At 49.2% G+C, this 17662-nt stretch overlaps 2 long non-coding RNA genes across 2 annotated transcripts in view; both read right to left on the reverse strand.

The window, feature by feature from the left end:
* LINC01107 (long intergenic non-protein coding RNA 1107) overlaps positions 1-17662 on the reverse strand; it is a 44810-nt gene that overhangs the window by 15272 nt on the left and 11876 nt on the right. The gene's annotated exons all lie outside the window — the stretch shown is intronic.
* On the reverse strand, positions 3820-17203 carry LOC124906130 (uncharacterized). Its single transcript, XR_007088215.1, has 2 exons — positions 7023-17203; positions 3820-6015 (listed from the first exon to the last, which is right to left on the reverse strand). It is a non-coding gene; the product is annotated as an uncharacterized LOC124906130 (long non-coding RNA).

Below are 17662 nucleotides of genomic sequence, written 5' to 3' on the forward strand. Positions count from 1 at the left end.
GCAGATTCTCTTAGACAGCTACAATTATTGTGGTTGAATAATATTTTGAAATATTAAGTGATTTAACTTGCCCAGCATGTCCTGTTGCCTTTTTTTAAATCAAGGGTTTTTTTCTACCCTGTTATTGGAAAGAGTGGTGGCCTGAGGAAGAGAAGACACAGCTGATCTTGAAAAGGGAAGTCGTCAGTCCATGGCTTTGTGGGCTGCCAGCATGGGGTTTCCTGGGATACTGGCCAACAATGGCTGCACCTGCAGCTGCTCTTGCCACGCTCAGTCCCCCGCGTGGACCATGGCCCAGGCCTCTATCAGTGTCTGGAAGGCGCCGGAGAGCAGTGCGGGTCTGATTTGGGCTTGTGCCTCTTTCTCTCTCTCTTTTTTTTTTTTTTTTTTTTGAGATGGAGTCTTGCTCTGTCATCCAGGCTGGAGTGCAGTGCTATGATCTTGGCTCAGGGCAACCTCTGCTTCCCGGGTTCAAACTATTCTCCTGCCTCAGCCTACGGAGTAGCTGGGACTGCAGGTGCGTGCCACCACACCTGGCTAATTTTTTTTTTTTTTGTATTTTTGGTAGAGATGGGGTTTCACTGTGTTAGCCAGGATGGTCTCGATCTCCTGACCTCGTGATCTGCCCATCTCGGCCTCCCATAGTGCTGGGATTACAGGTGTAAGCCATCGCGCCCAGCCTCTGGGCTTGTGCCTCTCAACAGTCTCAAGCGATGTCCTGGCATGAGGGATGGTGCCTCCAGGACTCTGCTTCTTGGTCCTGGAGCTGGAGATTTTCAGGGGCCGATGGGCTCTGCCCTCTTCTGCTCTCAATTTTTGTCCATCAGGTGGGCTTGGCAAGTCCCCTTGACCTTTCTCAGGAAAACTTTGGTCCGTCTGGCCCTCCCCGACCTCCCCCCAGTGTCTGCTCCCTGCAAGGTTTCTCATGCCTTCCTACACACGCTCACCTGGAATGCAGCCCTGCCCTTTTGTATCATGAATGTCCAGAGTAGGCACTGGCTCGAGGAGAATTGGTGAACACGCTAAGTAACTTCCCCAAAACTGACAACAGGCACTGTAATTCCAGTTAGTGCACTGATCCCTGTGCAGAGATTCCAGATCTGGAGACTGTATGTGGCAGAATTTATCATTTGACATGTGTGGCATTTCAAATAAGTAGGGAGAATTGAATACAAGATTTTAGATCACTGGCTCTCCATAGAGAAAACCATGTTACCTAAAAAGTAACATCTTTCTGCCAGTCCATACGTACAATACATTCCATACGTACAATACATTTCATATGTACAATGCATTCCATACACACAATACATTCCAGCTGCGTTAAAGATTTAGGTGTAATAAAAAAAAACCTGAAAAATTCCAGAAGGACATATAGAGAGTATTTTTGTCTCCTTGGGGAGGGCAAGGTATTTTTAGCCAAGACATAGAAATTACTGATATTAGGAACACGTTGGAGCCAATCCTGGTGTCCTGGAAACTGACCCAGCACAGATTGACTTCTTTTTCAGGCTACGTGTTTTGTGGAGGTCGGCAGGGGCTCTGCTCTACCGAGACACCCAGGACCCAGGCTGATCGAGACTCTACCATCTGGGAGAGTAGAGCAGCAGAAGGGACCCCTGGGGGCTCACGCACTGTTTCTTCTGTATTTTGGCCCAGAGGTGACACACACCACTCTTGCCCAAACTGGTCCAGAACCAGTCACATGCTCCTGCTCTGGCTGTGTGGTAAGAACGCAGGACAATGTGGAGACTGGGTTGAATGCTGAGGAATGTTACTCTCCCTGCCACAGACTCTCTCCTGATACATTCTGACGTCAGAGGGGATGGTGACTTTCCTGGGAAGTGTTAACTAGCAGAATTGATCTGAGATGTAAGAATTCCAAAGAGATGCATAAGAAGACAAGGGAAAGGTTTCTAAGATTTACCTTCCAGACTGGATCCCATCCCAGATGGTTTTATTGAAAGGATAACCAGTGCATGTGTCTGTCTGGGGGGAGGGACAGGATGCTTCCAAAATGGACTTGAGGGCTGGATGCCAGGTGTGGAATCAATGAAACTCAGGGGGCAGGAAGTGCATGGCATTAGGGGCTGGGTGTTGGGCCACCCGGACCTGCTCTCTAGTTCTTCCAAATCTAGTGAGAGGCTGCTCAGACCCTGTCACTTCTGCTGTAGAAGCTGATTACCCAGAATTGTGCTCCCAACAGACTAAATGTAGCAGGGGAGCTGTGATTCCCCATAAGAAACTGGGGAACATGGGGTGCTGTCACAGGCTGAGAAAATGAACTCTTGGCAGCCAAAGAGGAATTAAAGAAAGCAGAGAGAGACAGAGAGAGAGAGAGACACCCATGGGGCATAAGGCTGGAAACTGTCAGAGAATATGACAGGGAGGCATGACAAGCTAGCAGTTCATAGAGTGAAGCTAAGGAAATCACAGGAAAATGGGTGTTATTTATAAATGTACATACTTGGTCCAGAACAGTGGTTCACGTCGGTAATCCCAGCACTTTGGGAGGCTGAGGTGGGAGGATCACTTGAGGTTAGGAGTTTGAGACCAGCCTTGGAAACATAGCAATACCCCATCTCTATTAAAATAGTAATTTAAAAAATTAGCCAGGCATGATGGTGCACCTGCAGTCCCAGCTACTTGCGAGGCTGGGGTGGGAGGATCGCTTGAGCCTGGGAGGTTGAGGCTGCAATGAGCCATGACGGCACCACTGCACTCCCACCTGGGTGCCAGAGTGGGACCTTATTTCTGAATAAAAAGTACATGCTTAAAATTAAAGGGGCTTCTTGTTAATCATTGGAAATGGATATAATCCAAAGTCCGTAGCTACTAGGCACCTACCACCTTCATCATCATGGTACCATTTGAAGCTCCCCTCTGTGCTGGGGACCAATGGCTCTGAGACCATCATGGCTGTGCCTGGCAGTGCAGGAGCAGAGAGCTGACATGTGTGTCCCTCAATCAGAGACATGGATAAGATGGCACCCTGATGGGAGGGTGAGGGTCCAGAGAGCCAGTAAATCCACAGCCATGTGGCCGGTCATGGAACAAGATTGGCCAAGAAAGAAGGTTTTAGAAGGTAAGAGGTTCATTTCAGATCTTCCCTTAAAGGTGCCCTGAGGCATCTTTTTTAACAAGAGCACCAAAGAGGAGGTTTCTGGTAGGCAGCTCGCTCCTGAACGCTGAGCAGAACGGGCCGGCCATGCCAGGTGCTGCTTTGCTTTGTTTGAACAAAGGTCCTGGGGTCCTCACAGTGAGACACGGTTCTCACTTCCCATCTCTGCTCTCAAGGCCTTTGTGATCTTTGTGCTATCCTACTGAAGACAGGTAGAGGAGAGGAACAGAGGACCCCAAACAAGTCCCTGTTCAGCCTGGACACCTGGGAAAGGGAGGAGTGTGGAAGAGGGAAGGAAGTTAGCTGGGGGACAGTGAACACCAATGTATGTGCAGATTCAATCAGCAGCGATCTGTGAGTCAGAGGCTCTCAACATGCTCCAAAGCAAAGCTGGGTAAACACTGCCACTTTTTGTTTGCGTTGAGTTAGCTGCCTGCAAGCATATTAGGAAACCCTGACAAAGAGCATTCTAAATGCATGTGGTGCCTTTGAGTTTATTTGTCTCAATTTATTCCAGTTACATTTGAGCATGACATGATTATACATCTCACACTGACTGAAGACTGTGGGCCTGCGTGGCAGGCAGGGGAAGAAGGGGGGAGGAAGAGGGTTTCCTAGCGCCATCTAATTTAAAGCACCTTTAGCTGAGTGGTGCAGTGAAAAGGATGTGGCTAAAACAAATAAAAATCATAGCAGGATCAAAGTACACACACAAATTTATTCCTTCTGGAAGCAGCTTCTCTTTCCCTTTCCCCCTCTCTCCTTCCCTTGTTTTCCCCTCCTTTGAGTCCCAGCGATTCTTTCATGGCAGAACTCCAGGATGGCCTCGTCTCCTTGCAGCACAATCACAGTTTCATCTCTGATTGATGGGGCGAAGGCACCGGCACCGCGGGTTTGAAGGAGATCTAAGGGCCTTCCTAATTTCATGGTGGGCATGTGAAGTGTCACATTAATCAGCGCTCTTTATGAGCAGTTCAAAGAGTCATAGATGTTGGGAAGGTGGCTGTTTGAAGCACAGAGCCAAGGGATTTCAGGATTTTATCAACAACCTGGGGGTTCCACCTCCTCTCCCCAGTGCACCTCTTGCCTGACTGCTGGGTGGAATTTTACATGAGAATCATACGGAGCTAAAGGAACCTACGATACCATCCAGTTCCAACCCATACTTTACATAGGAATCAGCAGAGGCTGGGAGTCTCTCTTGGGGTCACACAGAAAGCCATCTAGTCTGGAAGCAGTGGGTTATTCAAGCCTCCTGGTTGCGTGTGACAACTCAAATGAGGTTAAGCACTGATATAGTTTGGCTCTGTGTCCCCAACCAAATCTCATGTCGAATTGTAATTCCCAGTGTTGGGGAAGTGGGCTGGTTGGAGGTGATTGGATCATGGGGGCAGATTTCCCCCTTGCATTCTTGTGATGGTGAATGAGTTCTCAGGAGACCTGGTTGTTTGAAAGTGTGTGGCACCTCCCTCTTTGCTCTCTTCCTCCTTCTCCAGACACATGAAGACGTGCCCGCTTCCCCTTTGCTTTCTGCCATGATTGTAAGTTTCCTGAGGCGTCCCCAGCCCTGCAGAACTGTGAGTAATTTAAACCTCTTTCCTTTATAAATTACCCAGTCTCAGGCAGTTCTTCATAGCAGCATGAGAATGGAATAAAACAGTAAATTGATACTGGGTAGTGGGGCGCTGCTATAAAGATACTAAAAAACGTGGAAGTGACTTTGGAACTGGGTAACAGGCAGAGGTTGGAACAGTTTGGAGGGCTCAGAAGAAGACAGGAAGATGTCTTCCAGGAAAGTTGGAACTTCCTAGAGACTTGTTTAATGGTTTTGACCAAAATGCTGATAGTGATGTGGACAATGAAGTCCTGGCTGAGGTGGTCTCAGATGGAGATGAAGAACTTTTTGGGAACTGGAATAAAGGTGACTCTTGCTACATTTTAGCAAAGAGACTGGCAGTATTTTGCCCTTGCCCTAAAGATCTGTGGAATTTTGAACTTGAGAGAGATGATTTAGGGTATCTGGCAGAAGAAATTTCTGAGCAGCAAAGCATTCAAGAGGTGACTTGGGTGCTGTTAAAAGCATTCAGTTTTATGTACTCACAAATATATGGTTTGGAATTAAAACTTATGTTTAAAAGGGAACCAGAACATAAAACTTAGGAAAATTTGCAGCCTGATGATGCGATAGAAAAGAAAAACCCATTTTTGGAGAAGAAATTCAAGCCAGCTAGATAAATTTGCATCAGTAACGAAAAGCCAAATGTTAATCACCAAGACAATGGGGAAACTGTCTCCAGGGCATGTCAGAGTTCTTCACAGCAGTCCCTCCCATCACAGGCCCAGAGGCCTAGGAGGAAAAAAGGGTTTCACGGGCTAGGCCTAGGGCCTTGCTGCTTTGTGTAGTATAGGGATTTGGTGATAGTGAGTTCCAGCTGTGGCTCAAGGGGCCAACATAGAGCTCAGGCTGTTGCTTCAGAGGGTGCAAGCCCCAAGCCTTGGTGGCTTACACGTGGTCTTGGACCTGTGGGTGTACAGGAGTCAAGAATTGAGGTTTGGGAACCTCAGCTTAGATTTCAGAGGATGTATGGAAATACCTGGATGTACAGGCAGAAGTCTGCTGTAGGGGCAAAGCCCTCATGGAGAACCTCTGCTAGGGCATTGAAGAAGGGAGATGTGGGATTGGAGCCCCCACAGGGAGTCCCCATGGGGGTGCTGCCCGGTTGAACTGTGAGAGGAGGGCCACCGTCCTTCAGACCCCAGAATGGTAGATCCGCTGACAGCTTGCACTGTGCACCTGGAAATGCCTCAGACACTCAATGCCATCTTGTGAAAGCAAAGCCACAGGGGTGAAGCAGTCCAAGGCCATGGGAGCCCACCTCTTGCATCAGCGTGACCTGATGTGAGACATGGAGTTGAAGGAGATTATTCTGGAACTTTAAGGTTTGGTTACTGCCCTGTTGGATTTTGGACTTGGGTGGGGCCTGGAGCCTCTTTGTTTTGGCCAATTTCTCTCATTTGGAATGGGTGTATTTGTCCAATGCCTGTATCTCCATTGTATCTTGGAAGTAATTAACTCACTTTTGATTTTACAGGCTCATAGGCGAAGGAATTTGCCTTGTCTCAGATGAGACTTTAGATTTGGACTTTGGGGATAATGATGGAATGAATTAAGACTTTGGGGGACTGTTGGAAGTACATAATTGTGTTTTGAAATGTGAGGACATATTTTAAAGGGACCATGAATGGAATAACATGTTTTGGCTGTGTCCCACCCAAATCTCATCTTGAATTGTAGTTCTCATAATCCCCATGTGTCATGGGAGGGACCTGGTGGGAGGTAATTAAATCATGGGGGTGTTTATTAGTCTGATCTCACACTGCTATAAAGAACTGCCCAAGACTGGGTAATTTATAAAGAAAGAAGGTTTAAATGACTCATAGTTCTGTGGGGCTGAGGAGGCCTCAAACAACTTACAATCAAAGTGGAAGGAAGTAAACACATCCTTCTTTACAGGATGGCAGGAAGGAGAAGTGCCAAGTAAATGGGGGAAAAGCTCCTTATAAAACCATCAGATCTGAAAACTCACTCACTGTCATGAAAACAGCATGGAGGTAACTCCCTCCATGATTCAGTTACCTCCCACAGGGTCCCTTCTATGACATGTGGGGATTATGGGAGCTACAATTCAAGATGAGATTTGGGTGGGGACATGACCAAACCATATCACTGCACCTCAGGGATGATCCAAGACACCTCCTGGTACAGTGCTCACACCTCAGGGATGACCCAAGACATCTCCTAGTGTAGTGGTCCTACCTCAGGGATGATTCAAGACACCTTGTGGTGCAGTGCTCACACTTCAGAAATGATCCAAGAAACCTCCTGGTGTAGTGATCCTACCTCAGGGATGATCCAAGACATCTCCTGGTGCAGTGCTCACACCTCAGGGATGATTGAAGACACCTCCTGGTGCAGTGCTCCCACCTCAGGGATGATCCAAGACACCTCCTTGTGCAGTGCTCACAATTCAGGGCTGATCCAAGACACCTCCTGATACAGTGCTCACAACTCAGGCATAATCCAAGACACCCCCTGGCACAGTACTCCCTTCTTAGGGATGAGCCAAGACAACTGCTTGTGCAGTGCTCACACCTTAGGCAGAATCCAAGACACTTGCTGGTGCAGTGTTCTGACCTCAAGGATGATAAAATACACTTCCTGGTGCAGTGCTGACAATTCAGGCATCATCCAAGAGACCTTCTGGTGCGGTGCCTACATGTCAGGTTTGATCCAAACATCTCCTGGTGTAGTGCTCTGACCTCGGGGATGATACAAGATACCTCCTGGTGCAGTACTCACACCTCAGGAATGATCCAAGACAACTCCTGGTGCAGTGCTTCCACCTCAGGGATGATCCAAGACACCTCGTGGTGTGGTACTCCCACCTCAAAGATGATCCAAGACTCCTCTTGGGGTAGTGCTCCCACCTAGGGATGATCCAAAACACCTCCTAGTGCAGTGCATACATCTCAGGCATGATCAAAGACACCTCCTGGTGCAGTGCTCAAGCCTTAGGGATGATTCGTGATGCCTTTTGATGTAGTGTTCACACTTCAGGGATGATCCAATACACCTTCTGGTGCAGTGCTCCCTCCACAGGGATGATACAGGACACCTCCTGGTACAATGGTCACACCTCAGAAGTTATTCAAGACAGCTCCTGGTGCAGTGCTCACACCTCAGAGATGAATCAAGACACCTGGTGCAGTGCTCACACCTCAGGGATGAATCAAGACACCTCCTGGTGTAGTGCTCACACCTCAGGGCTGATTCAAGACACCTGGTGCAGCACCTGCACCTCAGAAATGATTCAAGATACCTCCTGGTACAGTGCCTGCACCTCAGGGATGATCTGAGACATCTCCTGATGCAATGTTCACACCCCAAGGATGATCCAAGACACCTACTGGTGCAGTGCTCACACCTCAGCGATGATTCACAACACCTCCTGGTGCAGTGCTTACACTTCAGCGACGATCCAAGACACCTCATGATGCAGTGCCTGCACCTCAGAAATGATCCAAGACACCTCCTGGTGTAGTGCTCCCTCCTCAGGGATGATCCAAGACACCCCTCGTGTAGCGCTCCCACCTAAAGGACGATCTGAGACATCTGCTGGTGCATTGCTTGCATCTTAGCAATGATCCAAGACACCTTCTGGTGCAGTGCTCACAAGTCAGGTTGATCTAAGACACTTCCTTGTGCAGTGCTTCCACCTCAGCAATGATACAAGACACCTCCTGGTGCAGTGATCCCCCTTCATGGATGATTGAGGACACATCCTGTTGCAGTGCTCACACCTCAGGGATGATCCAAGACACTTCCTGTTGCAGTGCTCACACCTCAGGGTAGATCCAAGATACCTCCTGGTGCGCTACACTCTCCTCAAAAATCATTCCAGATACCTCCTGGTGCAGTGCTCACACCTCAGCGATGATCCAAGAGATCTCCTGATGCAGTGCTCCCACATCAGGGATGATCCAAGACACCTTCTGGTGCACTGCCTCCATCCCAGGGTTGATCCAAGACACCTTCTGGTGCAGTGCTTATACCACAGGGATGATCCAAGACACCTCCTGTTGCAACTGAGACATGATCCAAGATGCCTCCTGGTGCAGTGGTCACTTTTCAGCATGATTTAAGACACCTCCTGGTGTAGTGCTCAAACCTCAGAGATGATTTAAGACACGTCCTGGTGCAGTGCTCACAACTCAGACATGATCCAAGACACTTCCTGGTGAGGTGTTCACATCTCAGGGATGATCCAAGATACCTCCTGGTGAGGTGCTCACACCTCAGGGATGAATCAAGACACCTCCTGGTTTAGTGCTCACAATTCAGGGATGATCCTAGATATCCTGGTGCAGTGCTCACACTGCAGGCATGACATAAGACACTTCTGGGTGCAATGTTCACACCTCAGGGATGATCCAAGACACCTCCTGGTGCAATGCTCACACCTCAGGGATGATCCAAAATACCTCCTGATGCAGTGCTCACAACTCAGACATGATTCAAAATATCTCCTGGTGCAGTGCTCACACTCAGGCATAATACAAGAAACCTGGTGCGGTGCTGAGACCTTATGGATGACCCCAAACACCTCCTGGTGTAGTGCTCACACTCAGGGATGATCCAAGACAATTCCTGGTACAGTGCTCACACCTCAAGGGTGATCCAAAACACATCCTGATGCAGTGCCCACACAACTCAGGCATCATGCAAGGTACATCCTGGTGAGGTGCTCACACTCAGGCATGATCTAAGACACCTCCTGGTGCAGTGCTCACATCTCAAGCATTATCCAACACACTTCTTGGTGTAGTGCTCCCACCTTAGGGATGATGGAAAATACCTCCTTGTGCAGTTTTCACACTACAGGGATGATCCAAGACACCACCTCATGCAGTGCTCACACCTCAGGGATGCTCCAAAACACCTCTTGGTGCAGTGCTCACAACTCAGATATGATTTAAGACACCTCCTGGTGCAGTGATCACAACTCAGACATGATCCAAGATACCTCCTGGTGCAGTGCTCACACCTAGGGATGATCCAAAAAAACCACGTGGTGCAGTGCTCACACTCAGGCATGATCCAAGACACCTCTTGGAACAGTGCTCTCAACTCAGGGATGATCCAAGAGACCTCCTGGTCCAGTGCTCACACCTTAGGGATGATCCAAAACATCTTCTAATGCAGTGCTCACATCTCTGGCATGACTTGAGATACCTCCTGGTGCAGTGGTCACACCTAGGAATGAGCCAAAAAGACACCTGGTGCAGCGTTTGCACTCAGGAATAATACAAGACAGTCCTTTGTGCAGTGCTTACACCTCAGGGATGATCCAAGACATCTCCTGGTGCAGTGCTCACACATCAGGGATGATCCAAGACACCCCCTGGTGCAGTGCTTGCACCTCAGGGATGATCCAAAACACCTCATGATGCAGTGCTCACAACTCAGGCATGATTCAAAATACCTCCTGGTGCAGTGCTCACACTCAGGCATGATCCAACACAATTCCTGGTGTAGTGATCTCACCCCAGGGATGATTAAAAACACCTCTTTGTGTAATTCTCACACTACAGAGATGATCCAAGACACCACCTGGTGCAGTGCTCACACCTCAGGGATGTTCCAAAACACCCTCTGGTACAGTGGTCACAACTCAGGCATGATACAAAACACCTCCTAGTGCATGGGTCACACCTCAGACATGATATGACACTTCTGGGTGAAATGTTCACACCTCAGGTATGATGATCCAAAGACCTCCTGGTGCAGTGCTCTTACCTCAGGGATGATTCAAGACACCTCCTGTCACAGTGTTCACCCCTCAGGGATGATTCAAGACACCCCTGGTACAGTGATCCCACCTCAGAGATGATCCAAAACATCTCCTGATGCAGTGCTCACAACTCTGGCATGATGATGGTGCAGTGGTCACACCTAGGAATCATCCAAAAAACCACCTGGTGCAGTGTTCACACTCAGGCATAATACAAAACACTTCCTGGTGCAGTGCTCACACCTCAGGGATTATCCAAAACACATCCTGGTGCAGTGCCCACAAAACTCAGGCATGATCCAAGGTACATCCTGGTGAGGTGCTCACACTCAGGCATAATCTAAGACACCTCCTGGTGCAGTGCTCACACCTCAGGTATGTTCCAAAACATATCCTGGTGGAGTGGTCACAACTCAGGCATGATCCAAGACACCTCTTGGTGCAGTGCTTACACCTCAGGGATGCTCCAAAACACCTCTTGGTGCAGTGATCACAACTCAGATATGATTTAAGACATGTCCTGGTGCAGTGATCACAACTCATACATGATCAAAGGTACTTCCTGATGCAGTACTCACACCTAGGGGTGATACAAAAAACCCACCTGGTACAGTGCTCACACTCAGGCATGATCCAAGACACCTCCTGGTCCAGTGGTCACACCTCAGGGATGATCCAAAACATCTCCTGATGCAGTGCTCACAACTCTGGCATGATCCGAGATACCTCCTGGTGCAGCGGTCACACCTAGGAATTATCCAAAAAACTACCTGGTGAAGTATTCACACTCAGTCATAATACAAGACACTTCCTGGTGCACTGCTCACACCTCAGAGATGATTCAAAGCACCTGGTGGTGTAGTGCTGCACTCCAAGGGATGATCCAAGACACCTGTTACAGTACTCCCTCCTCAGGGATGAGTTAAGACACTTGCTGGTCAGGCACCATCAGGCACGATCCAAGACACTTGTGATGCAGTGCTCCGACCTCAGGAATAATGCAGAACAACTCCTGGTGCAGTGTACACACCTCAGGAATGACGCAAGACACCTCCTGGTGCAATGCTTACACATCAGGGATGATAAAAGACACTTCCTGATGCAGTGCTCAAACCTCAGGCATAATCCAAGAGACCTCCTGGTGCAGTGCCTGCACCTTAGGGATGATCAAAAACACCTCCTGGTGCAGTGCTGACACCTCAGGCATGATTTTAGACACTTCCTGGTGCAGTGTTCACACCTGAGGGATGATCCAATACACCTTCTGGTGCAGTGCTGCCACCTCAGGGATGATTCAAGAGACCTCCTTGTGCAGCGTCTGCACCTCAGATTTGATCCAAGACACCTCATGGTGTGTGATCCCATCTCAGGGATGATACAAGAGACCTCCTGGTACATGGGTCACACCTCAGGCATGATAAGACACTTCCGGGTGCAAAGTTCACACCTCAGGGATGATCCAAGACACCACTTGGTGTAGTGGTCTTTCCTCTGATGATTCAAGACATCTCCTGTAACAATCCTTACACCTCAGGAATGATTCAAGACACTCCCTGAGACAGTGATCCTACTTCAGGAATGATCCAAGACACCCCCAAGTGCAATGCTCACACTCAGGCATAATACAATCAGGCATAATACAAGACACCTTTTGGTGCAGTGCTCACACCTCAAGGATGACCCAAGACACCTCCTGGAGTAGTGTTCCCCCCACTCCAGGGATGATCCAAGACCCCTTTGGTGCAGTGCTCTTACCTTAGGGTTGATTCAAGATACCTCCTGGTGAAGTGCTCCTACCTCTGGAAAGATCCAAGACACCTGCTGGTGTAGTGCTCCTACCTCAGGGATGATGCAACATGCAAGCCACTTCCTGGTGCAGTGCTCCCACCTCAGGGATGCTCCATGACACCTCCTGGTGCACTTCTCACAATTCAGGGATGATCCTAGACACCTCCTGGTACAGTGCTCACACCTCAGGTGTGACACAAGACACCTCCTCGTGCAGTACTCCCTGCTCAGGGATGAGCCAAGACACCTGCTGGTGCAGTGCTCACACGTCAGGCATGATCCAAGGCACTTGCAGGTGCAATGCTCCACCTAAGTGATGATCCAATACACCTCCTGGTGCAGTGCTCCCAACTCAGGGATGATAAAAGACACTTCCTGGTGCAGTGCTCAAACCTCAGGGATAATCCTACAGACCTCCTGGTGCAGTGTCTGCACCTCAGGGATGATCCAAGACACCTCCTGGTGTAGTGTTTCCACCTCAGAGATTATTTAAGGCACTTCTTGCTGCAGTGGTTAAAACTCAGTTATCATCCAAGATACCTCCTGGTGCAGTGCTCCCTCCTCAGGATTATCCAAAAAACCTCTTGGTGCAGTAGTCCCTTCTGGGGGATGAATGAAGACACCTCCCTGTGCAGTGCTCCCACCTCAGAGATTACTTAAGACACCTCCTTGTGCAGTGCTCACACTTCAGGGATGATAAAAGACACTTCCTGGTGCAGTGCTCAAACCTTAGGCATAATCCAAGAGACCTACTGGTACAGTGCCTGCACCTCAGGGATGATACAAAACACCTCCTGGTGCATGAATCACACCTCAGGCATGACATAAGCCACTTCTGGGTGAAATGTTCACACGTCAGGTATGATGATCCTGGTGAGGTGCTCACACCTCCTGGATGATCCAAGACACGTCTTGGTACAGTGCTCACACCTCAGGGATGATTCAAGGCACCTCTTGTTACAGCGATCACACCTCAGACGTGATCCAAGACATATCTTGGTGTAGTGCTCTTTCCTCTGATGATTGAAGACACCTCCTGCTGCAGTGCTCACATCTCAGGGAGGATCCAAGACACCTCCTGTTACTGTGCTCACACCTCAGGGATGATTCAAGACACTTCCTAGTGCAGTGATCCTACCTCAGGGATGATCCAAGACACCTCCTGGTGCAATGCTCACACCTCTGAGATGATCCAAGATACCTGCTTGTACAGTGCTCAACTTTCAGGGATGATCCAAGACACCTCCTGGTGCAGTGCTCACACCTCTGAGATGATCCAAGATACCTGCTGATACAGTGCTCAACCTGCAGGAATGATCCAAGACACCTCTTGGTGTGTGCTCACACCTCAAAGATGACCCAAGACACCTCCTGGAGTTGTACTCTCTCCCCAGAGGTGATCCAAGACATTTCCCGGTGCAGTGCTCCCACCTCAGGGATGATGGAAAACACCTCATTGTGCAGTTCTCACACCACAGCGATGATCCAAGACACTTCCTGCTGCAGTGGTCACACCTCAGCGATGATCCAAGACACCATCTGGTGCAGTGATCACAACTCAGATATTATTTAAGACACCTCCTGGTGAGTGATCACAACTCAGACATGATCAGCGATACTTCCTGGTGCAGTGCTCACACCTAGGTATGATCCAAAAAACCACCTGATGCAGGCTCACAACTCAGGGATGATCCAGGTGACCTCCTGGTCCAGTGCTCACACCTCAGGGATGATCCAAAACACTTCCTGGTCCAGTGCTCACAACTTAGTCATGATTGAATATACCTCCTGGTGCAGTGCTCACACTCAGCCATAATACAACAAGCCTCCTGGTGTGGTGCTCACACCTTATGGATGACCCCAAACACCTCCTGGTGCAGTGCTCACACTCAGGGATGATCCCAGACATTTCCTGGTGCAGTGTTCACACCTCAGGGATGTTCCAAAACACCTCCTGGTGCAGTGCTCACACCTCAAGGATGCTCCAAAACACCTCTTCGTGCAGTGCTCACAACTCAGACATGATTTAAGGCACCTCCTGGCGCAGTGATCACAACTCAGACATGATCCAAGATACTTCCTGGTGCAGTGCTCACACCTACAGATGATCCAAAAAAACCATGTGGTGCAGTGCTCACACTCAGGCATGATCCAAGACACCTCCTGGTCCAAAGCTCACACCTCAGGGATAATCCAAAACATCTCCTGATGCAGTGCTTACAACTCTGGCATGATCCGTGATACCTCCTGGTGTGGTGGTCACACCTAGGAATGATCCCAAAAACCACTTGGTGTAGTGTTCACACTCAGTCATAATACAAGACACTTCCTGGTGCAGTGCACACACGTCAGGGATGATCCAAAGCACCTCCTGGTGTAGTGCTCAACCCACAGGGATGATCCAAGACACCTCTTGGTGCAGTGCTTCCACCTCAGGGATGATTCAAGACACCTCCTGGTGCATGCTCACACTTCAGGCATAATCCAAGATACCCCTGTTATAGTACTCCCTCCTCAGGGATGAGTTAAGACACTTGCTGGTCACACATGATCAGGCACAATCCAAGACATTGCGATGCAGTGCTCTGACCTTAGGAATAATGCAAGACACCTCCTGGTGCAGTGCTGATACCTCAGGCATGATTTAAGGCATTTCCTTGTGCAGTGTTCACACCTGAGGGATGATCCAAGACACCCTCTGATGTAGTGCTGCCACCTCAGGGATGATTCAAGAGACCTCCTTGTGTAGTGCCTGCACCACGGGTTTGATCCAAGACACCTCATGGTGCAGTGATCCCACCTTAGCATCAATACAAGAGATCTCCTGGTGCATGGGTCACACCTCAGGCATGATAAGACTTGCAGGGGCAATGTTCACATCTCAGGGATGATCCAAGACACCTCTTGGTGCAGTGCTCTTTCTTCTGATGATTCAAGATGCCTGCTGGTGCAGGACTCACACCTCATGGAGAATCCAAGACACCTTCTGTTACAGTGCTCACACCTCAGGGATGATTCAAGGCACTTCCGGATGCAGTGATCCTACCTCAGGAATGATCCAAGACACCTCCTGGTGCAATGCTCACACCTCTGAGATGATCCAAGATACCTGCTGGTACAGTGCTCAACCTTCAGGAATGATCCAAGACAACCCCTGGTGCAGTGCTCACACTCAGGCATCATACAAGATGCTTCTTTGTGCAGTGCTCACACCTCAAGGATGACCCAAGGCACCTCCTGAAGTAGTGCTCCCTCCCCAGGGATGATCCAAGACCCCTTTGGTGTGGTGCTCTTTCCTTAGGGGTGATTCAAGATACCTCCTGGTAAAGTGTTCCCACCTCAGGAAAGATCCAAGACACTTGCTGGTGTAGTGCTCCTACCTTAGGCATGATGCAACATGCAAGACACTTTCTGGTGCAGTGCTCCCACCTCAGGGATGCTCCAAGACACTTCCTGGTGCAATGCTCGCAACTCAGGGATGATCCATGAGACCTCCTGGTCCAGTGCTCACACCTCAGTGAAGATCCAAAACACTTCCTGATGCAATGCTCACAACTCAGGCATGATTCAAAATACCTCCTGCTGCAGTGCTCACACTCAGGCATAATATAACAAACCTCCTGGTGTGGTGCTCACACCTTATAAATGACCCCAAACACCTGGTGCAGTGCTCACTCTCAGGGATGAACCAAGACAATTCCTGGTGCAGTGCTCACACCTCAAGGGTGATCCAAAACACATCCTAATGCAGTGCCCACAGAACTAAGACATGATCCAAGGTACATCCTCGTGAGGTACTCACACTCATACACCTCCTGTTGCAGTGCTCACACCTCAGGGATGCTCCAAAACACCTCTTGGTGCAGTGGTCACAACTCAGGCATGATCCAAGACATCTCCTGGTGCAGTGCTCACACCTCAGGGATGCTCCAAGACACCTCTTGGTGCAGTGATCACAACTCAGATGTGATTTAAGACATCCCTTGGTGCAGTGATCACACTCAGACATGATCCAAGATACCTCCTGGTGCAGTGGTCACACCTAAGGATGATCCTAAAAAACCACCTGGTACAGTGCTCACACTCAGGCATGAGCCACGACACCTTCTAATCCAGTGCTCACACCTCAGGGATGATCCAAAACATCTCCTGATGCAGTGCTCACAACTCTGGCATGATCCGAGATACCTACTGGTGCAGTGGTCTCACCTAGGAATGATCCAAAAAACACCTAGTGCAGTGTTCACACTCAGGCATAATACAAGACACTTCCTGGTGCAGTGCTCACACCTCGGGGATGATCCAAACCACCTCCTGGTGTAGTGCTCAACCCACAGGGATGATCCAAGACACCTCCTGGTGCAGTGCTACCACCTCAGGGATGATTCAAGATACCTCCTGGTGCAGTACTCACACTTCAGGCATGATCTAAGATACCCCCTGTTACAGTACTCCCTCCTCAGGAATGAGTTAAGAAACTTGCTTGTCAGTCATGATCAGGCATGATCCAAGACACTTGTGATGCAGTGCTCTGACCTCAGGAATAATGCAAAACAACTCCTGGTGCAGTGCACACACCTCAGGGATGACCCAAGACATGTCCTGGTGCAGTGCTCACACTTTAGGGATGATAAGACACTTCCTGGTGCAGTGTTCAAACCTCAGGCATAATCCAAGAGACCTCCTGGTGCAGTGCTTGCACCTTAGGGATGATAAAAAACACCTCCTGGTGCAGTGTTGACACCTCAGGCACGATTGAAGACACTTCCTGGTGCAGTGTTCACACCTGAGGGATGATCCAAGACACCTTCTGATGTAGTGCTGCCACTTCAGGGATGATCCAAGAGACCTCCTTGTGCAGTGCCTGCACCTCAGGTTTGATCCAAGACACCTCATCGTGTAGTGATCTGATCACAGAGACGATACAAGAGACCTCCTGGTGCATGGGTCACACCTCAGGCATGATAAGACACTTCTGGGTACAATGTTCACACCTCAGGGATGATCCAAGACACCTCTTGGTGTAGTACTCTTTCCTCTGATGATTCAAGACACCTGCTGGTGCAGTGCTCACATCCCAGGGAGGATCCAAGACACCTCCTGCTACAGTGTTCACACCTCAGGGATGATTCAAGACACTTCCTTATGCAGTTATCCTACCTCAGGAATGATTCAAGGCACCTCCTGGTGCAATGCTCACACCTTTGAGATGATTCAAGACACCTGCTGGTAGAGTGTTCAACCTTCAGGAATGATCCAAGACAACAACTGGTGCAGTGCTCACACTCAGGCATAATACAAGACACCTCTTGGTGCAGTGCTCACACCTCAAGGATGACTCAAGACACCTCCTGGAGTAGTCCTCCTTCCCCAGGGATAATCCAAGACCCCTTTGGTGCAG

Source organism: Homo sapiens, chromosome 2 (assembly GCF_000001405.40).
Source record: "Homo sapiens chromosome 2, GRCh38.p14 Primary Assembly".
Taxonomy (NCBI): domain Eukaryota; kingdom Metazoa; phylum Chordata; class Mammalia; order Primates; family Hominidae; genus Homo; species Homo sapiens.